Source organism: Homo sapiens, chromosome 11, assembly GCF_000001405.40.
Source record: "Homo sapiens chromosome 11, GRCh38.p14 Primary Assembly".
Lineage (NCBI taxonomy): Eukaryota > Metazoa > Chordata > Mammalia > Primates > Hominidae > Homo > Homo sapiens.
In genome coordinates, this window is record NC_000011.10 from 47,381,615 (window position 1) to 47,405,019 (window position 23,405).

Sequence of the window (23,405 nt, forward strand, 5' to 3'; positions counted from 1 at the left end):
TTTTTGGTATAGTGATTTATTTTCCTTTGGTTAGATACTCAGTGAGATTGCTGGATCAAATGATATTTCTTTTCCTTTCTTCTTTTCTCTCTTTTTCTTTTTCTTTTGAGACTGAGTTTCGCTCTTGTTGCCCAGGCTGGAGTGCAGTGGCACAATCTTGGCTCACTTTGCCTCCCGGGTTCAAATGATTCTCCTGCCTCAGCCTCCTGAGTAGCTGGGATTACAGGCGCCCGCCACCACGCCCAGCTAATTATTGTATTTTTAGTAGAGATGGGGTTTCATCATTGTTGGCCAGGCTAGTCTCAAACTCCTGATCTCATGTGATCCACCTGCCTCGGCCTCCCAAAGTGCTGGGATTACAGACGTGAGCCACCATGCTTGGCCAGTTCTTTTTCTTTTGAGACAGAATGCCACTTTATCACTGAGGCTGGAGTGCAATGGCGTGATCTTGGCCCACTGTAGCCTGGACCTCCTGGGCTCAAGCGATCCTCCCGCCTCAGCCTCTGGAGTAGCTGGTACTATGGATGTGTGCCACCTGTAGTCTCATCTAATTTTCTGTATTTTTTGTAGAGATAGGGTTTCACCATGTTGCCCAGGCTGATCTTGAACTCCTGGGCTCAAGCAATCCACCTGCCTCAGCCTTCCCAAATGTTGGGATTATAGGTGTGAGCCACTGCATCTGGCCAAAAGGTAGTTCTGTTTTTAGTTCTTTGAGAAATCTCCATACTCTTTTCCGTAGAGGTTGTCATTTAATCACTTACTTTTTATTGAGTGTCTTCCATGGTCTGGGCCTAGTAAGGGGGATAGACATGAATGAGGCATACTCGGAGCCTCCAGCAGCTTACAGGCCTGCAGAGGGTCATGTGAGCAGATAGTGGGGCAAGAGAGGAGGTGCCAGGTACACTTGGTCTCAAAGGTGCATTAGGGAACCATTGATTGGGTCAGGGTCCCAGATAGGATGGCTTAGGGAAGCGTGCAGGGGGAAAGCATGTCTGGCTGAGAATCAACTTAAGCAAAGGAAACGAAGAGGAAAACAGGAAGCCACCATCTTTGCAGCTGGAAGCAAAGCAGGACAGGAAAGCAAAGAGCCTTGAGTGCCAAGCCAAGGAGCCTGAGTCGTGTGCAGGGATGGCTGTGGAGTCTTTGCTGGTTGTAAGCAAGGAGTATGGGGGCTGTCCTCCGTGGGTGCAGCCAAGAAACACAGTAGACTGTGTGTTCCCGAGGCCTAAGATTCAAGGGGCTCCAGGAGAAGGAAGATATCCCATTGCCTCAAGTATGGCCAAGCTCAAGGGGCCTGGGTGAGGAACTCCATAAAAGAGATCCAGGGTCAATAACCTCTGGAAATAGGCAGAATGTCCTCTGCCCTCTGGGCAATGCTAGAGTGTCCTCCCAACTCCTCTTTCCACTCCTCCCCCTCCCAAAGTACATCAGAAGCCTCATCCCCTTACATCCCCAGGGACCCGTGGTAATTCAAATTCTTGGGAATAGTAGGACCCAGATTCCAAGAACAGGAACGGTTTGGTAATCCATAACCTCACGGTTAGTAGTTCCTTAAAAAGGAAAAGAAAAAAATTTTTGAGTGCCTGGCACCATTCTGGGTGCTTCCACCCTATGATCTCACATCACCAAGACAGCCATCTGTTGAACTGAGGCCCAAGAGACCAGTGACTGGCCCAGGGTTGCACAGCATGTGTGGGTAGAGAGCTGGGGCATGAACCCTGGCTTCTGGGGCTCTAGGAAGGGCTGGGTCTTCTGGGGAGGGAAGGAAGCTAGAGGAAGAACGGAGAGAGACTGAGAAGCTGAGGCAGGGAGCAGGGAGGAAGGGGAGGGAGGAGAAGAGAGGAAGGGAAAGAGAAGCAAAATAGCAAGATCAAAGGAGGGAGCAGAGAGAAGGGAGAAACAGGACAAGAGGTGAGGAGGCAGCACGAACCTCAGGCGAAAAAGAGGAGAGCAGGGCGAAGGCAGATGGAGGAGGAGGAGGACAGAGGAGGGACAACGAGGAGGTTTTGGGGAGACAGGGACAGTGGCTGGCTGGAGGTGATGGGACCCCAGAGGAACACATTCCCAGCTTCTCCCTCCTGCAGCAGAGCAAAAGAGGGGCAGAGAAGGTCCCTGACTTGCAGGAGGTCAGCAGGTGCATCGTGCTGGAATGTGGCTCCATTTCATTCTGGTCAGCAGGAAATTGGTTTGAAACCAAAAATCTTGGACGCTCTAGGGACTGAAAAACAAAAACATCATTTTTAATTATTTTATTTTTTGAATAGATAACATGTGCACATGGTACAAAATTCAAAAGGTACAAAAAAGGTAAACAACTGCCCAGTTCCCCTTCCACAGACTAGCCCACTTGTTACCTGATCTTGTGTTTTGGTCTAGAAATCATCTACACAGCGTGTAGCAGATATATTTTTAAAAATTTTACACAGAGGGGGCCGGGCGTGGTGGCTCACGCCTGTAATCCCAGCATTTTGGGAGGCCAAGGGGGGTGGATCACGAGGTCAGGAGATTGAGACCATCCTGGCTAACACGGTGAAACCCCATCTCTACTAAAAAAAAAATACAAAAAATTAGCCGGGCGTGGTGGCGGGCGCCTGTAGTCCCAGCTACTCGGGAGGCTGAGGCAGGAGAATGGTGTGAACCCGGGAGGCGGAGCTTGCAGTGAGCCGAGATCGTGCCACTGCACTCCAGCCTGGGCGTTAGAGCGAGACTCCGTCTCAAAAAAAAAAAAGGAAAGAAAAAAATTTTTTACACAGAGGGGGGCACATTAAACATATTGTAGTTCCCTTGTTTTTTTTCCCCAATATACATGTCACACCCATGTAGCACTGTCTTGTCCTTCTGAGTTTTTTCCATTTATAGTTTTTGTGGGTACATAGTAGGTGTGTTTATTTATGGGGTACATGAGATATTTTGATACAGGCATAAATTGTGTAATAATCACATCAGTAAATGGGGTATCCACCACCTCAAGCATTTTTCATTTCCTTGTGTTACCAACATTCCAATTATATTCTTTTAGTTATTTTTAAATACACTATAAATTAGTGTTGACTGTAGTGTCTTTTTAATGGCCGTATAGTATTCCACTATTTGGATTTACCAGGATATTTTTAAGTCATGAGAGACATCGTTCATTTAGAAGAGTAAATACAATATTTATGTGCAGTTTAAAGAATAATTATAAAGCAGCCGGGTGCAGTGGCTCATGCCTGTAATGCCATCACTTTGGGAGGCCGAGGCAGGCAGATCACCAAGTCAGGAGATTGAGACCATCCTGGCTAACACGGTGAAACCCCGTCTCTACTAAAAATACAAAAAAAAAAATTAGCCAGGCATGGTGGCACGGTCTGTAGTCCCAACTACTCGGGAGGCTAAGGTAGGAGAATGGTGTGAACCCGGGAGGCAGAGCTTGCAGTGAGCCGAGATCGCGCCACTGCACTCCAGCCTGGGCGACAGAGCAAGACTCCGTCTCCAAAAAAAAAAAAAAAAGATAATTATAAAGCTGACATCTATGTAACCACCATCCAGGTAAAGAAATAAAAAAGTTGCCAGAAAGGCCGGGCGCGGTGGCTCACGCCTGTAATCCCAGCACTTTGGGAGGCTGAGGTGGGCAGATCACGAGGTCAGGCGATCGAGACCATCCTGGCTAACACGGTGAAACCCCATCTGTACTAAAAATACAAAAAAAAATTAGCCGGGCGTGGTGGCGGGTGCCTGTAGTCCCAGCTACTTGGGAGGCTGAGGCAGGAGAATGACGTGAACCTGGGAGGAAGAGATTGCAGTGAGCCGAGATCGCGCCACTGCACTCCAGCCTGGGTGACAGGGCAAGACTCCATCTCAAAAAAAAAAACAAAACAAAACAACAAAAAAACATTGCCAGAACCCCAGAAGAATCCCCAAATGTCCCCTACTTCCCTCTAGAAATAACACTGTCCTAACTTTTTCAGTAATTTTCTACTTGCTTTTCTTTTATTTTTTATTTATTTATTTTTTTTCCGACGGAGTCTCACCCTGTCGCCCAGGCTGGAGTGCGATGGCATGATCTTGGCTCACTGCAACCTCTGCCTCCCAGATTGAAGTGATTCTCCTGCCTCACCCTCCCGTGTAGCTGGGATTACAGCCGTGTGCCACCACACCCGGCTAATTGTTTGTATCTTTAGTAGAGACAGGGTTTCACCATGTTGGCCAGGCTGGTCTCAAACTCCTGACCTCATTATTTGCCCGCCTCAGCCTCCCAAAGTTCTGGAATTACAGGCATGAGCCAACGCACAGGCCTCTTGCTTTTTCTCTTGCTTTCCCTTATAGTTCAGTTTTTATTTTAACAGGTTTTAATCTTTATATTAAAAAAATCATAGTGTAAATATCCTTTTGGGTCTTTCTTCTTTTCCCCACCATGTTATTCTGTGTCGCTATGGTCCATTTTCATTGCTGGATAGTATTCCAGTGTTATTTATTTACTTATCTTTTTGAGATGGAGTCTCGCTTTGTCACCCAGGCTGGAGTGCAGTGGCATGATCTCGGCTCACTGCAACCTCCGCTTCCTGGGTTCAAGCAATTATCCTGCCTCAGCCTCTCCAGTAGCTGGGATTACAGACATGGGCAACCACTCCCAGCTAATTTTTGTATTTTTGGTAGAGACAGGGTTTCACCATGTTGGCCAGGCTGGTCTCAAACTCCTGATCTCCAGTGATCCCCCTGCCTTGGCCTCCCAAAGTGCTGGGAATACAGGCGTGAGCCACCGCACCCAGCATTCCATTGTTATTTAACCAGTCTCTCATCAGTATATATGTATTTTTGAGACAGGGTCTCATTCTGCACACACAGCTGGAGTGTAGTGGTTCTATCATGGCTCACTGCAGCCTCGACCTCCTGGGCTCAGGCGATCCTCCCACCTCAGCCCCCCAAGTAGCTTTAACCACTTATTGATGGACATTTGTTTCGAGTCTTTTGCTATTACAAATAATACAGCAATCAATAACATATGCTAAATTACATATATGCAGGAGGGAGGATGTCTAGGAGAGATTCCCAAAAGTTGAATTACCAGGTCAAAGGACAGTGCATTTTTCATTTTTTAATTTTTATGTATGTATTTATGTATTTTATTTTATTTTATTTTATTGAGATGGAGTCTTGCCCTGTCACCCAGGCTGGAGTGCAGTGGAGCAATCTTGGCTCACTGCAGCCTCCACCTTCTGGGTTCAAGCAATTCTCCTGCCTCAGCCTCCTGAGTAGCTGGGATTACGGGTGCACGCCACCATGCCCAGCTAATGTTTTTTGTATTTTTAGTAGAGACAGGAGTTTTGCCATGTTGCCAAGGCTGGGTCTCAAACCCCTGGGCTCAAGCGATCCACCCACCTTGGCCTCCCAAAGTGCTGGGATTACAGGCATGAGCCACCACTCCTGGCCTGTATTTATTTTTTAGAGATAGAGTCTCCCTCTGCTGCCCAGGGTGGTCTCGAACTCCTGCCCTCCAGCCATCCTCCTGCCTTGGCCTCCCAAAGTGCTGAGATTACACGTGTGAGCCACTATGCCCTCTGTGCATTGTTAATTTTGAGACAGATGATGGATAGACAGACAGGGCGGGTGCAGTGGCTCACGCCTGTAATCCCAACACTTTGAGAGGCCAAAGTGGGAGAATCACTTGAACCCAGGAGTTTGAGACCAGCCTGGGCAACATAGGGAGACCCCATCTCTAAAAAAATTTTCAAAATTAGCTTGGTGGGGTGGTGGTGGTGGTGGTGTGTGCCTGTGGTGCCAGCTACTCAGGAGGCTGAAATGGGAGGATTGGTTGAGCCCTGGAGGATGAGGGTGCAGTGAACCATGATCACGCCACTGCACTGCAGCCTGGGTGACAGAACAAGACCCTGTCTTAAAAAAAAAAATAAGACTGGAAACAGATATTATCACATTGCCCTTAACAAAAGTTGTATCAGCCAGGCATGATAGCTCACGCCTGTAATCCCAGCACTCCCAGAGGCGAGTGGATCTCCTGAGGTCAGGAGTTTGAGACCAGCCTGGCCAACATGGTGAAACCCCGTCTCCACTAAAAATACAAAATTTAGCTGGGTGTGGTGGTGCACACCTGTAGTCCCAGCTACTCAGGAGGCTGAGGCAGGAGAATCACTTGAACCTGGGAGGCAGAGGTTGCAGTGAGCCAAGATGGCACCACTACACTCCAACCTGGGTGACAAGAGTGAAACTCCATCTCAAAAATAAATAAATAAATAATAATAAAAATAAAAGTTATACCTATTCATTATCCTACCAGTCCTGCTAGACAGTGCAGCTTCCCAGCCTACTAGACAAGTGGGAGACCCTGCAGGGGCTGGGCCTTGCAGAGTGACAGGGAGGCTGGGCAGGCCTAGGGTAGTGTGGCCCTTTGCCCCTGCTGGCTGGGTTGATGATAGGGGCAGGCCGGGTGCTAATGCAATCACAAAGCAGGCGGGCAACAGGAAACTTGAGGGGGTGTCCTCAAAGCTGAGTCCACAGAGGGGAGCACGACCCCTGACCTCATAGATCTCTCAGCCTTGGCCCAAACGAGCTAGAAAATGAGGAAATGTCCCCCCACCCACTTTCCTAGCAACCTGTCCCCATAGGGTGTGACAAGGCATGTGAGAACACACAGGCCTCAGACCAAGAGCTGGGAAAGTTGACCAAAAAGAGCTGAGCCTGTGGACAGAAATGGCAGTCTTGCAACTTCCTCTCATGGTTGAGACACTGGGAGAGGCTCCCTGGGCCCCAGCCAGGGTCAACTGGGCCCCTCCGAGCTCCCCAAGTTTTGTTGACAGCACTGGGCTGGCTCTTCAGTGCATTAAGGCCTTCAACAATGATTGACTCGGGGCCTCTGCATGCCAGGCAGCCCAAACAGGCAGGGCCCTTCATCCCCGCCCTCATGGGCCTGCTCTTCAGCAGGGCAAGACCCACGATGAACTCATGATAGCGAGTGTTCATTGCATGTTGGAAGGTGACACTCGCCATAGGAACAAGGGCATGCAGCTGGATAAGGGGCTTGCGGTAGGGGATGGAGTGGGCGGGGACAGTTTGCAGCATTCACGAGAGCAGGCAGGGCAGGCTTCACCAAGAGAGGTGCATCCGGCAAACCCTGGAAGCAAGTGAGGGAGCGAGCCAAGCAGATGTCTGGGAGAAGAATTCCGGGCAGAGGGACTAGTCAGTGCCAATGCCCCAGGCAGGAGCGTGAGCCAGAGATGGCAAGGAGGCCTATGGGGGCACAGCCAGTGGCAGAAGCTCAGACAGGGCCAGTCAGGTCAGGCCATGGTATGGAATTTGGCTTTGACTCCAGGAAACATGGAGTGTGTCGCAGGGTGTGTCCTCTCTTATTCAAACCTGAAGCTGGTGCCGTGGTACACATGAGGAGACTGAGGCTCAGAAGTGGCCGTGAGTCGGCACAGCGTGGCTTGGTCAATCCGGGGTGTAGGTGAGGCTTTCGCCCAGATCCACCTGAGACCTAGACCCCAGCTCTGCACCATGGCAGTGCTCCAGTGCTTGTGGGTGGTGACAGGCAAGCACTGGAGGGTGCCCGTGCTGGGCACTAACTCACCCCTCCCTCACGTAACCGTACGAGGCAGGCCTTGTCAGTGCCATTCTGCAGATGACGGAAGTGCAGTTCCCGGAGGTAAGGGGCACGGCCAAGGGCACACAGCCGGGAGCAGGGCAGGAGGTGATTGTGGTTCTCAGGGCCCCTCAGGCCTGTGCCTCCGTGGCTGTCCCTATCTCGAGGTTCTCTCATGGATATTTCCCCACCTAAAAGTCTTCCTGAGCTCTTGCCTGTCCTCAAGCTGAAGCCCAAACCTCCGAGGCCTGTGCGGGAACCTCCAACGCCCGGAGTCCGGCCAGCCTTTCTGCCCGTCCCCAGCCCAAGTGGCCAGCCCCACCTCCACCTCCAGCCAGAGGACACCGCTCAGCATTCCTGGAACCTTTCTCAGTCTCCCCAGCTTTTGCGCACAAGCCCACCCACTTCCACACCCTCAGATCTCTCTCTTTCAAGGGCTTGCCTCCTCCAGGCTGCCACCCAAGACCGCCTTCCCTCTAGTTTCCCCCCACCGCTCCCCAGCTCTGCCTCAGTCTCTTGTCCCACTCTGCCCCAGCCCCAGTGGCCAGGGGCAGCTAGACCTCCTCTGAATCCCAAATCCTGGCCAGCCTCCCACACCCTTGTCCCTGCTGACCAGCTCTACAGATGGGGCGCTCACCTCCCGGCCACATCACTCAGGCTTCGGCACCTCAAACCCACCGCCACCCACAGCGACTTCCTTCTGCTCACCACGGGCAGCACCACACCCCCCTGCTCGCTCACTGAGGACAGGAGCTGCCTCCCCACCCCAGACCCTTCCCCTGTGGAGCCCCCTCCACCATGCCCTGGTCTCTAGGTTCCCCTGAGTCTTTCCCTACGGATTGGCTGTGTGGCCTTTGGGTGAGTTCCTTCCCCTCTGCAGAGCTCAGATGCTCCAATTTTACAGAGCGGTCAACAGTACCCACTTCCCAGCATTGTCCTGAGGACGGAAAGAGATGGTCTGTGAAAGCCTTTGCTTGGTATACAGTAGCAGTTCAATAAATGCACATTTCCTCCATTGACCTCCACAAATGCAGAGGTTAGGAGTATGGCTTCGGAGACCCTGATTAGAATCCTATCCTCGCTCCTCATTCACTATGTGGCTGACGGGAGAGTCACTCACTTCTCAGAGCCTCAGTGTCCTCATCTGCAAAATGGGAACATTAATAGAATATACCTCGCGGGGTTGCATGAACTAGATGAGGTAGCATGTGGCTATCTGTGTGTGACAGGCCCTGCATCCCACCATAGGGAGCAAGTTCAGCCCTGTCTTCAGCCCTCCAAGCTCCCACCCTGGGCCTCTCCACCGCGGACTCGGAGAAACAGAAATGCAGAGAGAAGCTCTGGAAGCTGGCAGAGGAGGCCCTGAGGCAGCGGCATCTTAGCCTCTGTCCCTGGATGGTTCCCCACCTGCCTGGGGCCCCCGGGCTGCATTTTGCGCTCACTCTCCCTGTCTGAGAAACCAGCTCTTGGGAGGAAAAGCCAGCCTGGGAAAAAGGGCCTAGCTCTGGAATAGGGACCCTGTGATAAGATGAGCAGGGCCCTTTGAAAAGACAAGGAAACTAATAATGACAGCTCCCACCATGGGCCCAGCACATGAGATCTTTACAATAGGGTTATCCATTTTACAGATGAGAAATGGGGCTCAGAGTGGACGCTTACACCTGCTCCAGGAAGAAGGGCCAAAATCAGGATTTGCACCCAGGCTTGAATTCCTCTCAAGCCTGTGCTCTTAGCCCAAGGCTGCCTGAGTGTGTGCCTTGAGCCCTTGGGACAAACAAGGGAGAGTGGGCCCTGAGGGGCCAGTGAATGAGGAGCTGAATTCAGCTTTGAGGCTCTGGGGCCCAAGAACAGTGCAGGGATGCCCAGGGGTCCCGGTTAGGGGTTGGGGGGCAGCCCAGGGTGAAGGAGCAGGAGGCCTGGGCCTGGAAGGAGTTAACTGCGTGAGGGGCCCGAGTGAATCAGAGGCTCCGCAAGCTATGATGGAAATTCCCTGTGCATGGCGTGTGGTCACCCAGAAAAGGGAAACGGTGCTTTTCGGAGCAGGGGACGGCGGGGGCTGGAGCTAGGGAGCAGACACCAGCCTGGGTGGGGCTGGTGAGGGTATTGTGACAAAGGAGGCCTGGCGTCCAGGTCTGCTCAGGCCTTGGGCGGGAAGAAGGAGTTGAGGAGCCACCAGGCCAGGCCAGGCCTGATTGTGCCATGGTGTGTCCATGGGCCCTGATGGATGAATAGGAGTTCACCAGGCCCAGACCAAAGAAAGGCACTTCAGACCAGAGGAAATGCTAGAGCCAAGGCACAGGGCTGTGACTCAGCATGGAGCCTATCCACTCTGCTTTTGCTGGCAAACTCGTTTCTGTCCTTCAAGGCCCATCCAAGTAACACCTCTCCCCACCCCAGGCAACACTCATAACTCCTCTAAGTCCCACTGCCTTGGTTTCCCTCTTGGAGCTCATAGGATTTTGTAAGTTATCTGCCTTCCCCATAGGACTATGGGTTCCACAAGGGCAGGGGCTGTGTCCCAGCTGTAGAAACAGCTTGTGCCCAGCACAGGGCCAGCACCAAGTAGGCGCTCTGTATTTGTGGAATGACAATTTCGCAGAAGAGGAATGTGGGACCCAGAGAGGTCGGGGGTGCTCAGTCAGCCAGCTGGTGCGGCAGAGCGGGGCTCAGGCCGGGCTCCTCCTCAGTTGGGACTGGTCAGGAGGGAAGGAACATGGCAGGAAGATCCCTCCCCTGGGGCAGGGCAGGGGGAGACGGCAGGGGCCACTGGGCGCTGATGGCCAGCCAGGGAAGGTAACAGGTGGTGCTATGGTCCACGCCCTGCTTCCCCCTTGAGCTTCAGGCCAACCCTGCTCCTGCCCTGGTCACAGCGCTAGAAAACGTCCGCCCTCCCAGGAGGGAGATGAAGGTACAAGATGAAGCAAGGAGCAGTCAGAGGAAGAGAGAAGGACACTGGGTTCTAGATTTCCCCAGTGAAATCTAGAATCTCCAGACACTTTGTAGCTGCCTGACCTTGGACAGGGTCTCACTCTGTTGCCCAGGCTGGAGTGCAGTGGTGTGATCATAGCTCACTGCAGCCTCAAACTCCCAGGCTCAAGCAATCCTCCCACCTCAGCTTCCCCAGTAGCCGGCACTATAGGCATGCGCCACCATGCTGGACTTTTTTTTTTTTTTTTTTTTTGGTAGAGTCGGGGTCTCGCTCTGTGGCCCAGGCTGACCTCCAACTCCTGGGCTCAAGTGATCTTCCTGCCTTGACCTCTCAAAATGCTGGGATTACAAGCATGAGCTACTGTGTCCTGCCCTCAGTTTCCACTTTATGATGGAGGAAATGGAATAGGCTTGTTCTGAGGACAGAATAAACTAATGGATGTAACTGTAAACCTTTGTACCGACGTGAGGGAAACTGCCTGTTAGCTGCAGTGACTATTGTGTAGTCTGGTCTCTCCCTGGGGGCTGTGGCAGTACCATCCCACCAGCCAGCTCCTAAGCAGTGTTAGGCTCGGGCCCAGCGTCCATCTGTCCCAGCTCAAGTCTGTGCCTGGTGAAGGCCTATGACCTGCGCCAGCCTGACAAGGGGGTCAAAACCCAACTTGGATGGCTGAGAATGATGGCCGGGGCTTCCTGTCCAGAAACGAGCCCCCTGACGGCCTCAGCTGCTCCAGCTCCACCACAGCACCCCAGATTTCTGGGCCCTCTCGTGTCTGCTTGAAGGTCAAGGGCATCCTGAGAAGCTGCCCTCAGGCGAGGACCGGTGGCATGGAGGTGACCATCGGGGTTGGAGTGTTTCCAAGCATGAAGGGGAACTGAGAACTGTGGGAATGGGCCTTGTGTAGTGCAGGGTGGGCCGGGCCTGGTGGGAGGGGGCCTGCTCCCGGGAGCTCAGACTGATGGGGTCCTGGGGTGAAGAGGAGAGGGGGAGCCCCAGGCAGAGGTGGGGTTGGGGGACACCATGGGGTGCTTGCAGGTCAATCCAGAGTGGGCTGGCCAGGCAGTGGGAGGTGGGGGAGCTGTGCGGGGAAGGAAAGAGGAAGCCAAGGGGAGAGGGGGATGGGCTGCTGGGGATGGAGTGGGGGTGGGGGCTGGGGGCCTGGAGCCACTTTGGCCGCAGCCACTTCACTTCTCCTGGTTTCGGTTTGTAAATAGCTGTCGGCTCCGTAGGGCAGGATGGGCCTGTCCCTTCTGTGGCCTGTGTCCAGGGAAGCCCAGATCTAAGGAGCTACAGATGCTCAAGCCCTGGATTGGGGGACCCCAGGATGCCTGCAACCCAGCCAGCCTTTGCCTGGGTCGGTGGGTTCTGGGGGCCCAGTTCTGGGCAGTTGCAACCTGTGGTCACTGAGGTAATGCAGCTGGGCTGGGGGAGCTTCAGAACATGATGACTCGGCCACCCTGGGCTTATTTATAACTGGGCCTCCGTGGCCAGAGCAGCTGCTGAGCCGCCAACTCAGCACTCAGGCTGGCCTGAAACACCAAGGCAGGGAACAGGACAGTGAGGGCCAGGCTGCCCTGACGGCCCCTCAGGCTGAGTCAAGGGGTCTTGGGTTCTCCAAGGCCTCTTTGGCTGGGACTGTGATGTGATGGGCGGGACTTGGGTTTTAGGGGAGCTTCTTGTGGAGCCGTCGTCTTGAACCTCCTGGACCAAAGGGATGGTTGAGCCTAGCCGGTGGACTGGCCACTACCAGGGGGCACAGGGCTCGGCCTTCTCGCAAAGAGCCTCTTCCTCCGAGGTCAGATGCTGTCAGCAAACTTGACCAGAAGCAAAGTCATCTCCCTCCCCTTCTTGCAATATCAGCTTAAAAACAAAACACAACAGATTCGGGGAAAGGGCAGTTCGGACACCGAAGGCCTGACCCCAGGCAGGCTGGCAGGTGGGAGAGGCGTGGGTCTTTCCTGAGGTGCCCACGTCACCCCACACCAGCATCCACCTCCTCGGCAGCTGGGAAGGGCTGGTCCTGCCCCACCCTGCAAATGACCGCGTCTTCTTTCTGAGGAAGTGTGCGAGGGGGTGTCAGGCCCTTTCCCAAGGTTTGCAGGAATAAAGCCTAGTCCTCCCAGATCAGCGTGGCCTCCGCCGCCCCAGATTCCATCAGCACCCTGTCTGCAAAACATGGGCCTGCTCCTCCCACCTCCAAGCCTTGCTCCAGTGTGGAACCCCCACCGGCCTCGCCTGTTCCCCTCTCTGCCAAGGTCTACACCAGGTTCCACCTCCAAGGCCCCAGCCTCAGTGCTGTCCCCAAAGCTTTGGCTCTTGGGAATGCAAAGCCCAACGAATGTGAGAACCGGGATGGGAATGGGCGAGGGGTTTTAGACCATGGATGCCGAGGTACTGCAGGAAAGAGGAAGGCGGGCCTGGAGCGGGAGAGATGGCGGTGGCGCCTGGCGAGCGCAGAGTTGAGACCAGAGCCACGTGCCCTGACTCCCCTCCTAGCGCTCTCACCCCTGGACCTCTGACCTCCGACCTCTGAGACCACCTGCCTGGCCCCTTCCTCTTGGCGGAAGCTGTTAGGGAAGGGAGGGATGGTGGCCTGCTGTGGGGGAAAACTCGGGCCACCACTGCTTGGGTCTGGGGTCTGGGGCCTAGGGCTGCTGGGCCCACGTAGGCCCCTCTGGGCAGGGTCACAGCGCCCAGCCTGGAGCCGCCCGGGCTGCAGCTGCCCCTGTTTCCACATCGGCAGCAGCAAGGCCGGCGCCTGAGAAAACAGGAAGCGCCCAGTCACCACAGGAAGCATGTGTGCGCCGCCTCCCCACCCCCGGCCCATTGCAAAACGCCAACAGCCCATTACCACAGGCACCGCACAGCGGCCCAGAGAAACGCTCCGGCCACCAGGCCTGCCGAGGAGCCGGACACAGCCTCCGGCCCTCGCCAGCCTGGGCCAGGCCTCAGGGGGATGTCCAGCCGCGGCCTGGAGGAGCCCAGAGTCCCCCAGGCCTCAGGCCTCAGCCTTCTTCTGGGCTCTCAGCTCAATCCCCAGGCCAGCCAGGGCCAGGCCTACTTTGGCCACCCTTAAATCAGAATGTGGGGTCAGGGGTCACAGAAAAGCCATTTCTCTGACCTAGTGTTTGGCGTCCGGGAACTCTGTGCCCAACCTTCAGACCCTGGCAGTCCTCACTGAGGCCATTGGCCCAGAGCCCGCCATCCCCCGAGACCCCCGGGAGCCGCCTGTTGCCACGTCCACACCTGCCACACCCTCTGCCGGGCCCCAGCCCCTCCCAACCGGGACCGTGCTGGTCCCTGGGGGTCCTGCCCCACCTTGCCTTGGGGAGGCATGGGCCCTCCTCCTCCCACCCTGCCGGCCGTCACTCACCTCTTGCTTCTGGTCCCCCAGGCCTAGCCCTTGGAAGGAGACAGGAGTCTAGGGAGGCTGAAGCCCACTCCCGGGGAGGCCCGTGCTCCTCCAGCCCCAGGGACAGCAAGGAAAAGAGAAGAGAGCAGAGCATTTCATGGCTATAATAAATCAAAGGGGGAAGTCGAAGCAAGAGAAATAACAAACTTCCCTTGCCTGGGCATGGGGACCTGCCAGGCAGCAGCCCCCGGGTGCCCCGCGGCCTTCCCTCCTTCCTCCTGCCTCCCTGGCCAGTACCCAGATCTCTCTTCAGGCCTAGGTACCCCCATCTACCCAGAGACACCCGCCCCTGGACACCCAACAGCCCTCCTCGCTGCACTCCCCGGGCTGGCACCTCTCCACTTGGCCTCAGTTTCCTCTTAATTGGCACAGAAAGCCCTGGGTCGCGTGGTCAGGCTGCCCAGCAGACAGGGATGAAGACAGAAGACAGGCAGTGCCCCCTCTGAACCAAGGCCCCTCAGTGGACAAAGGGAGGGGTGAGGTGTCCTGAGAACTCCTAGCGGGACACTTGGAGCCGGATGGACAAACATCTGGGAGCCAAGATGAGAGGGAGAGGCAGCAGAGTTCAGAGCAGAGATGGGGCCAGCCCCAGGCCATGACAGCTGGCAGGCCCTCAACCATCAACCTCAGCCATCCCTGAACTTCTCCCCAGCCAGACCAGGTGGCCCAGGGCCTGGGGCTTGAAGGGCCTGGAGGTCACCGTGGGGCATGAGATGTCCACAGCCTCAGGACATAACCCGGGTGTATCTTCTCGGAACATCCACTCAGGTAGAAGACTGAGAGGAAGATGTTTTAGGAAAGGGGAGGGAAATCCCCACACATTAAAGAGAAGGATGCAAACTTGTATGATTTTTTTAAGATAAAATAAGGAATTTCAGGCTGGGCCCAGTGGCTCACACCTGTAATCCCAGCACATTGGGAGGCTGAGACAGGTGGATCGCCTGAGGTCAGGAGTTCGAGACCAGCCTGGCCAACATTGTGAAACCCCCATCTCTGCTAAAAATACAAAAATTAGCCAGGTGCAGTGCCACGTGCCTGTAATCCCAGCTACTCAGCTACTTGGGAGGTTGAGGCAGAAGAATCGTTGAACCCAGGAGGCGGAGGTTGCAGTGAACCAAGATTGTGCCACTGCACACTCCAGCCTGGGAGACAGAGTGAGATTCTGTCTCAAAAAAAAAAAAAAAAAAGGCTGGGCTTGGTAGCTCACGCCTGTAATCCCAGCACTTTGGGAGGCCGAGGCAGGTGGATCACCCGAGGTCAGGAGTTCGAGACCAGCCTGGCCAACATAGTGGAACCCCATCTCTACTAAAAATACAAAAATTAGCCAGGTGTGGTGGCACGCACCTGTAGTCTCAGCTACTTGAGAGGCTGAGGCGGGAGAATAGCTTGAACCCGGGAGGCGGAGGTTGCAGTGAGCCGAGACCATGCCATTGCACTCCAGCCTGGGTGACAGAGTGAGACTGTCTCAAAATAAATAAATAAATAAAATAAAATAAGTAAATAAACAAATGGAGAAATGCCTAGCTCAGAAGTTTGCAATGAGGGACAAATGAGGCTGTGGAGTGGGGCCTTGGGGTAATCGTTTGGCCGGCAACACACTGCGGCCACCCACCTGTCGCCCCCCTCTCACCTGCCTGAGTTGGGGTGAACACTCCAGCTCGCCACTCTTCTCTGAGAACCCCCAGGGCCCCTCCCTGGCCTCCCTCTGGCCCTTCCTGACCTGGAGGAGTCCTGAAGCTGAGGTTCCCAGCCCCACCCTCAAGGTGCTCCCTCTCTGGGACAGAAACCTTAGAGGCCCCAACTCCCACCTTGGCAGGACTCCCCAGTTCTGCTCACACTCTGTGCCCCTCACATGACATCCCCACTGCTGCCCCGAGACTGTCTTAATAACTAGAGGTATTCACCAGGCACTCTACATACACAGCATCTTGTAATCCTTGACGATGCAGGTATTCTCATCCCCATTTCACAGATAAGGAAACTGAGGCTCGGGGAGGACTGACAGGTGCAAGCTCAGCTGGCTAGAAAGGGGCAGCACTGGCCGGGCGCAATGGCTCACACCTGTAATCTCAGCACATTGGGAAGCCAAGGCAAGTGGATCACCTGAGGTCAGGAATTCGAGACCAGTCTGGCCAACATGGTGAAACCCCATCTCTACTAAAAATACAAAAATTAGCTGGGCATGGTGGCGGGCAGCTGTAATCCCAGCTACTCAGGAGGCTGAGGCACAAGAATAGCTTGAACCCAGGAGGCGGAGGTTGCAGTGAGCCGATATCATGCCATTGCACTCCAGCCTAGGTAACAGGGTGACAAAGCAAGACTCCGTCTCAAAAAAAAAAAAAAAAAAAAAGTAAAAGAAAGGGGCAATGCTGAGATGAGAACTCAGTTTTCCTGTGTGCCCATCCAGTGGAAGTCCCATGCAAACCCTGAGGCAAAGCAGCATCTCTTTGGAAAAAGACTTCAAGCCTTTTAGAGTCTCACTGCTGCCTCCAGGCCCACGGCCACCACCTCTTCCCAGCTCCCCTACCCTGTCCCTATTCTCAGTTGTCCTGCTTCTCCTGGTCCAGGCTGGAGGATATCAGAGTTGAAAAAATTCCAGCCTCAGGTGCCCATGGGACCAGAGAGATGATAAAATCCAGAAAGGGGATGAGCCAGGCTCCCCTTGGCTCTCAGCCCTGGGCATGAACACGTAACAGTGGGACTTAACTCCCTGGGAGACAGGCCCAAAGAGGCAGCATTCCTGGTGGTGAGACCTGAGTGCATCTGCACCAGACATTTCCGCATTTAAATCTCAGCTCTGCAATGGAGAGACCACCCCCTGGGTAAGTGACAACATGAAAATGGGAGAAAATGCCTCTCCTGGCCTGGAGATCTCACAGGAGGGAAATGTGTTTCTAACAGCCATGGGCCCAGCCCTCCTTCAGGCACCGGCTCTGTCCAGTAGGTACGATTATTACTCCCATTTTACATACGAGGAAACCCAGGGAAAAGAGATGTCCCAAGGTCACACAGCCTTGCAGGGGCTTGAACCCCAATCCTGTCTAACTCCAAGTCCCATGCACTTACATATACCTGAGAGCCCCTCCTTCCTTTTCTCCTAGGAGTTCTTCTGTACCTTCCTAGCTTGCAGGGTTGGGGCCCTGGGTGGCAAGTTGAACCATGACTGGATGGGACTGGAGGGCTTGGCCCTGCCTGGCTGAGGCTGCAGTCTGCAAATACCTGACTGCCCTTGCTCTTGGTTGGGCTGAGGGACTGCTGCCTGGGCATGCAAGGGGTTGGGGACCAGCTGCAGCGGCACCTCCCTGACATATTGCCTTGGGCCACCCTGCCCTCTAAGCTTGTTGGTGTCTGACTTTCTTGGGAGAGGGGTATAACCCCTTCCAGGGGGCCTGCATGGTGGGGCTGAGACACTAAGAAAGCTGCATTTGAGCTTCCTCACTGGCTCAGCTCCTTCTGAGGCCCTGGAAGGGGTCTCAGCAATTTTGTTTTTGTTTTTTATTTTTTTGGTTTTTTTTTTGATGAAGTCTCACTCTATTGCCCAGGCTGGAATGCAGTGACACAATCTCGGCTCACTGCAACCTCTGCCTCCCGGGTTCAAGTAATTTTGCTGCCTCAGCCTCCCGAGTAGCTGGGACTACAGGAGAGCGCCACCACGCCTGGCTAATTATTTTATTTTATGTTTTGTATTTTTAGTAGAGACAGGATTTCACCACGTTGGCCAGGCTGGTCTCGAACTCCTGACCTCAGGTGATCCACCCACCTTGGCCTCCCAAAGTGTTGAGATTACAGGTGTGAGCCACCGCGAACGGCTGTTTTGTTTTGTTTTGTTTTGTTTTTGTTTTTTGTTTTGAGACAGAGTTTAGCTCTGTCACCCAGACTGGAGTGCAGTGGTGCGATCATCTCAGCTCACTGCAACCTCTGCCTCCCGGGTTCAACGATTCTCCTGCCTCAGTCTCCCGAGTAGCTGGGATTACAGGCGCCCACCATCACGTCCAGCTAATTTGTGTATTTTAGTAGAGACAGGGTTTCACCATGTTGGCCAGGCTGGTCTGGAACTCCTGACGTCAAGTGATCCGCCCACCTTGGCTTCCCAAGGTGCTGGGATTACAGGTGTGAGCCACTGCGCCCAGCCTCTCAGCAATTTTGTATTTGTGACTTTGTAATCTTTTCCTTAAAGAGTGCCCCCCCAAATGGTTTTAAGCTTCAGGCTCCTGGGAACCTAGATCTGTCCCCAGGGTGGGGCGGTGGAAAGCGTTCCAACCCCCTCCCACTTGCTTTTTGCATGCTGGCTCTGGGGCTTTGGGTGAAACTCCCCACTTTGCCATCTATACAATGGGGATGAATGAGGCGATGCGATGCTTAGAGGACCCTCTGTTCAAAACTCGCCCAACCCACAGAGACCTTCACAAGCCTGCACTTGGTCCATCACCAACAGCCCTGTGGGGAAAACCGAGCTCCTACCCCCATTTTCCAGCTGAGATAACTGAGGCGTGAAGCCCCGCTGCCGCTCGTCGCTGAGGCTGTGAGCAGGCTGGAGCCTCATCCCCCACTGCTCCCTGGGGTCTCCTCCCGGGATGCCAAGCCTGGGTAGCAGGAGGGGGTCTCCAGGGTGCGGGGGCGCTCTGGGGAGGCCGGGGGCGGAGGCGGTGTCCCGCACTGTCCCACCGCAGGGCCGACCTCGGCCCTTATCTGCTCCGGCAGCTTCCGCCCCCCAACTCCAGCCCCCGCCGCAGGCCCGGCCCCCGGCCCCGCCCCCCTAGGGCCCCTCCCCCGCGCCGCCCGCCCCCAGGGGAGCGCCCGAGCTGCCCGGCTGCGGCCCAGTCGAGCGGAGAGGGGGCCCAGCCCCCCCAGGTGGGCAGCCGGAAGTGATAAATAACCGAGACGGGGGGGGGGGGACACCATTGCAGTGAGGCCCGAGTTGTCCCGGGATACTCGCCCACAACCCAATAGGAGCTCCCCAAACTAAGTTGTCTTCGCCAAAAATGGGAGGGGGTCTGAGAAGGAAGAGGAAAGGGGTTCCTTAAGGCCCCAGGGACAAGAGGAACAGTGGAGTCAGTTTAAACAGGGCTCTGAGAGGCACACGACCTCCCCCCACACTAACAATGCCAAGTGGCCTCCCTGGGACAGGTGTGGGGGGGGGAGAGAGAAGCGGAGACACCTCAGAGAAAGTGAAAAGGAAGTCACAACTGGAGATGCCTGCGGAGTGCAGCGGGGCATAGCCTCAAAAATACATAAGGAACTCTTGCAAATCAAGGAAAAGAAAATCAAGCAATCCAATATAAAAAAATAGATAACACACACGCAGCGCAGGCATGTTAGGGCAGAGAAAACGAATTTGCTCAAATACCATCTAAGGGAGGCTCAGCCTCACTGCTGATGAGGGCGATGCAAATTCAGACCACAATGAGATGCTATTTACACCATCTGAAGGGCAGAAGGGAACTGTCCTTCAGCCAGAGCTGGCTGAAGGGCAGAAGGGAACTGTCCTTCAGCCAGAGCTGGCTGAAGGGCAGAAGGGAACTGTCCTTCAGCCAGAGCTGGCAAGGAGGGGAGCAGCAGGCCCTCCTGCATGTGGCTAGTCAGGATGCGGCTCCAAATAGCCCCCTAGGGAGAGCAATCTGGCCTTATCTCACGAAGTGGAGGTACAGAGGCTGTCACCCACACATCCCCCCAGGCAGCAAATCAAGATAAGTTCTCTGACAAGTGCGCCAAGAGACAGGGACAAAAATATTCACGTTGTCCCTAATAGCAAAAAAAATCCTGAAATAACCCCAGGGCCCACTGATAAGAGAATGGATAAATAAATTACAGTAGACACATTCACAGGGTGGAGATCATTCAGCAATGCAAGCAGGTGACCCACAGGTTCACCAATATCATGAAGGAATCTTTGCACCATGGTATTGAGTGGAAAAAGTCAGTCCCAGAAGATGGATACTTGCGGCTCTCTGTATCCCTGGGTTCCACATCCATGGATTCAACCAACCTCGGATGGAAAATATTTGGAGAAAAAAATGGATGGTTGTGTCTGTACTAAACATGTACAGACTTTTTTTCTTGTCATTGTTCCCCAAACAATACCATGTAACAGCGATTAACATAGCATTTACATTGTTTTCGGCAATCTAGAGATGATTTAAAGTATATGGGAGGATGTGGTAGGCTAAATATGCAAATATTTAATACCACACCATTTTATATCAGGGATTGAGCATCTGTGGATTTTGGTATCCTCAGGGGGTCTTGGAACCAACTCCCCCCCATCCCCGCCAGGACGCCAAAGGACAGCTGTCCTTACCCTTCTCATGAAGTTCAAAACCAAGCCAAGCCATATCTTTACAAATAACAATGTTCCTTCCCTGTTTCTAATACCTTTGTTATTAGGAGATGGTATGATTACCCACATAAAAGACTCTAGGCTGGGCATGGTAGCCCAAGCCTGTGTCCCTAGCACTTTGGGAGGCCAGGAGTTCAAGACCAGCCTGGGCAACATGGCAAAACCCCATCTCTACAAAAAATACCAAAAAAAAATTAGCCGAGCATGGTGGTTTGTGCCTGTGGTCCCAGCTACTTGGGAGGCTGAAGTGGGAGGATCATTTGAGCCCAGAAGGCCGAGGTTGTGGTCAGCGGAGATTGTGCTATACTCCAGCATGGGCAACGGAGTGAGACTCTGTCTCAAAAAAAAAAAAAAAAAAAAAAAAAAAAAAATATATATATATATATATATATATATATATCCCCACAAATATAAAATATCTAGAAGTAAACTTGGTAATAATTATGCAGAACCTATAGGAAAACAATTGTTAAATTCACTAAATAATGTAAAACCTTAAAATAGTTTTTTTTTTAAAAAAGCCAATTCAAATGGAATATTGTCTAGGTATACATACATATGTCAGAAAAAGCTTTATCAAAAAAATAAAAGCAAGAGTCAGGTGTGGTGGTGTGTGCCTGTAGTCCTAGCTTCTTGGGAGACTGGGGCCAGAGGACCATGTGAGCCCGGAAGCTTGAGACCAGCCTGGGCAACAATTTTAAAAAAATTTTAAAATTAAAATTAAAATCTCTAATTTTAAAAAAAGAAAGGCCAGGCGTGGTGGCTCACACCTGTAATCCCAGCACTTTGGGAGGCCGAGACCAGCGAATCACTTGAGGTCAGGAGTTCAAGACCAGCCTGGCCAACATGGTGAAACCCTGTTTCTACTAAAAACACAAAAATTAGCTGGGCATGGTGGGCGCCTATAGTCCCAGCTTCTCGGGAGGCTGAGGCAGGAGAATCGCTTGAACCTGGGAGGCAGGGGTTGTAGTGAGCTGAGATTGCGCCACTGCTCTGCAGCCTGGGTGACAGAGCTAGAATCTGTCTCAAAAAGAAAAAAAGAAAGAAAGAAAAATAAAAAGCAAAGGACTGATCATCACAAAATTCAGGTTTCACTGAAGGAGGAGACAGGGAGATGGGATAGGGGAAGGGTAACAAGTAAGGAAAGATGTAAATCAACACAAAAATTAAACAAGAGCCTTGCAGGGACCAAAAGGGCAGTGCAGAACGCACAAGGATTTCACCCCAATTTGTGCACCTGAGACAAGAGAAGGGGAATGGGAGACATGAAATTGATTTGGATAAACTTTTATTCAGAGTATGGGCAAAAGCTTGCTTTTTCTAGCAGCCCACACCTGGCAGGGAAAGAGGCCTGTGTATCCAGGGGACAAGGCTAAGGGATCCAAAGACACACCGACATGCAGAGCCTTCAGAATGGACAGGTCAGGAAGGCTGCAGGGAGGAGGTGGCCTTGTCAACAGGCTAGGTTTCAATCGACTGAGATGGCGAAAGGGGAAGGACATCCCAGGCCTGCCGAGAGTGGGGTGGGGGTGACAGAACTTGCCACAGTGGAGAGGCTGGACAGAGAGTAGTGGGACTCAGCTGTTCATGGTGGAGCTGCTGGTGGCAAGGGAAGAGGGGAGAGGCCCTGTGGGGTCACTGGAGCATTGCCCAGCCAGGGCTTAGGATTCAGTGGAGAAAATACCCCAGGAACTCATGAGGGAGCTAAGGCTACCCTGGAAAGAAGGATTGAGAAAGGATTGGGGTCAGGGGTTTCAGAGGGGCAGGGCTCCTTTGGAGAAGCTGAACCTGTGGCCCTGGGGGAGCTGCTGTGCCTCTTTTTAGCTGTGACCCTGCGTAATGTGATTACCATCCTGAGCCCCATATGCCTTTCAATAAGAGACTGCTATCTTCCTGCTGACCCCCACGGGAGGAAGCCCTGTGACAAGGATAAGGCCAGATATCTCACTAGAGACCACACTCTGGAAGTATCCATCCCCAGCCCAAGTCTCTAGCCCTCGATTGCCAGAGTGGAGGGAAGGATGTCAAAGCATTGGCCATTGCCAGGCCAGCCAGTCTTGCAGGGGCCAGAGACAGGAACAAGGGGTTAAAGTCAGATTCTGGGCATTGCAGTGAAGTCAGAGAAATAGATCTGTGGCTCCCTGATCCCAGACACCTCTCAGCCACTTAGAGCCACGCAGTACCCAGGCCCATCCAGCTCTGCTGAAGTTTGTCCAGTGCTTCAACCCAGGAAAACCCTATGGCCTCCAAACCAACTGATAAATATGTCAGAAAACACTCATTTGTGGCTGGGTGCAGTGGCTCACGCCTGTAATCCCAACACTTTGGGAGGCCGAGGAGGGCAGATCACCTGAGGTCAAGAGTTCAAAACCAGCCTGGCCAACATGTTGAAACCCCGTCTCTACCAAAAATACAAAAATTAGCCGGGCATGGTGGTGGGTGCCTGTAGTCGGGGGGCTGAGGCATAAGAATCACGTGAACCTGGGAGGCGGAGGTTACAGTGAGCTGAGATCACACCATTGCACTCCAGCCTAGGTGACAGAGCAAGACTCCAACTCAAAAACAAAAAAACAGGCCGGGCCTGGTGGCTTACGTCTGTAGTCCCAGCACTTTGGGAGGCTGAGGCGGGCGGATCACAAGGTCAGGAGTTCAAGACCAGCCTGGCCAACATAGTGAAACCCCGTCTCTACTAAAAATAAAAAAATTAGCCGGGAGTGGTGGCGGGAGCTTGTAATCCCAGCTACTCAGGAGGCTGAGGCAGGAGAATGGCTTGAACCCGGGAGGTGGAGGCTGCAGTGAGACAAGATCGTGCCACTGCACTCCAGACTGGTGACAGAGCAAGACTCCGTCTCAAACAACAACAACAAAACAAAAAACAAAAAACAAAACAGGCCGGGAGCGGTGGCTCACACTTGTAATCCCAGCACTTTGGGAGGCGGAGGCGGGCAGATCACCAGGTCAGGAGTTCGAGACCAACATGGTGAAACCCTGTCACTACTAAAAATATAAAAAATTAGCTGGGCGTGGTGGTGAGTGCCTATAGTCCCAGCTACTCAGAAGGCTTAAGCAGAAGAATTGCTTGAACCTGGGAGGCAGAGGTTGCAGTGAGCCGAAATCGCGCCACTGAACTCCAGCCTGGGTGACGAAGCAAGAC

The 23,405-nt window shown here is 53.5% G+C and overlaps 1 long non-coding RNA gene and 1 other non-coding gene across 6 annotated transcripts in view, besides 3 other annotated features; one reads left to right on the forward strand and one right to left on the reverse strand.

Annotated features, from left to right (window-relative positions):
* The window catches only part of SLC39A13-AS1 (SLC39A13 antisense RNA 1), a 27,668-nt gene continuing 4,263 nt past the window's right edge, over window positions 1-23,405 (reverse strand). For 2 of the 5 annotated variants that reach the window (NR_182304.1, NR_182308.1), the window contains 2 exons: window positions 13,876-13,963; window positions 1-2,218 (listed from right to left, as the gene is read on the reverse strand). This is a non-coding gene — a long non-coding RNA (SLC39A13 antisense RNA 1). Of the gene's footprint in view, window positions 2,219-13,875; window positions 14,016-23,405 lie in introns of all 5 variants that reach the window. The other 3 variants (NR_182305.1, NR_182307.1, NR_182306.1) reach the window with 2 other exon arrangements.
* Window positions 12,694-13,251: an enhancer, noted in NCBI's record as "H3K27ac-H3K4me1 hESC enhancer chr11:47415859-47416416 (GRCh37/hg19 assembly coordinates)". NCBI's record gives its function as "activates a minimal SCP1, AML or CMV promoter by ChIP-STARR-seq in naive and primed H9 embryonic stem cells {active_cell/tissue: H9 hESC(naive and primed)}" and the evidence as "EXISTENCE:reporter gene assay evidence [ECO:0000049][PMID:30033119]".
* Window positions 18,415-18,774: a silencer, noted in NCBI's record as "silent region_3327". NCBI's record gives its function as "represses an Ori minimal core promoter by ATAC-STARR-seq in GM12878 lymphoblastoid cells {active_cell/tissue: GM12878}" and the evidence as "EXISTENCE:reporter gene assay evidence [ECO:0000049][PMID:35858748]".
* Window positions 18,824-19,824: an enhancer, noted in NCBI's record as "H3K27ac-H3K4me1 hESC enhancer chr11:47421989-47422989 (GRCh37/hg19 assembly coordinates)". NCBI's record gives its function as "activates a minimal SCP1, AML or CMV promoter by ChIP-STARR-seq in naive H9 embryonic stem cells {active_cell/tissue: H9 hESC(naive)}" and the evidence as "EXISTENCE:reporter gene assay evidence [ECO:0000049][PMID:30033119]".
* Window positions 19,356-19,428, forward strand: MIR4487 (microRNA 4487). The gene has a single exon (NR_039707.1). It is a non-coding gene; the product is annotated as a microRNA 4487 (primary transcript).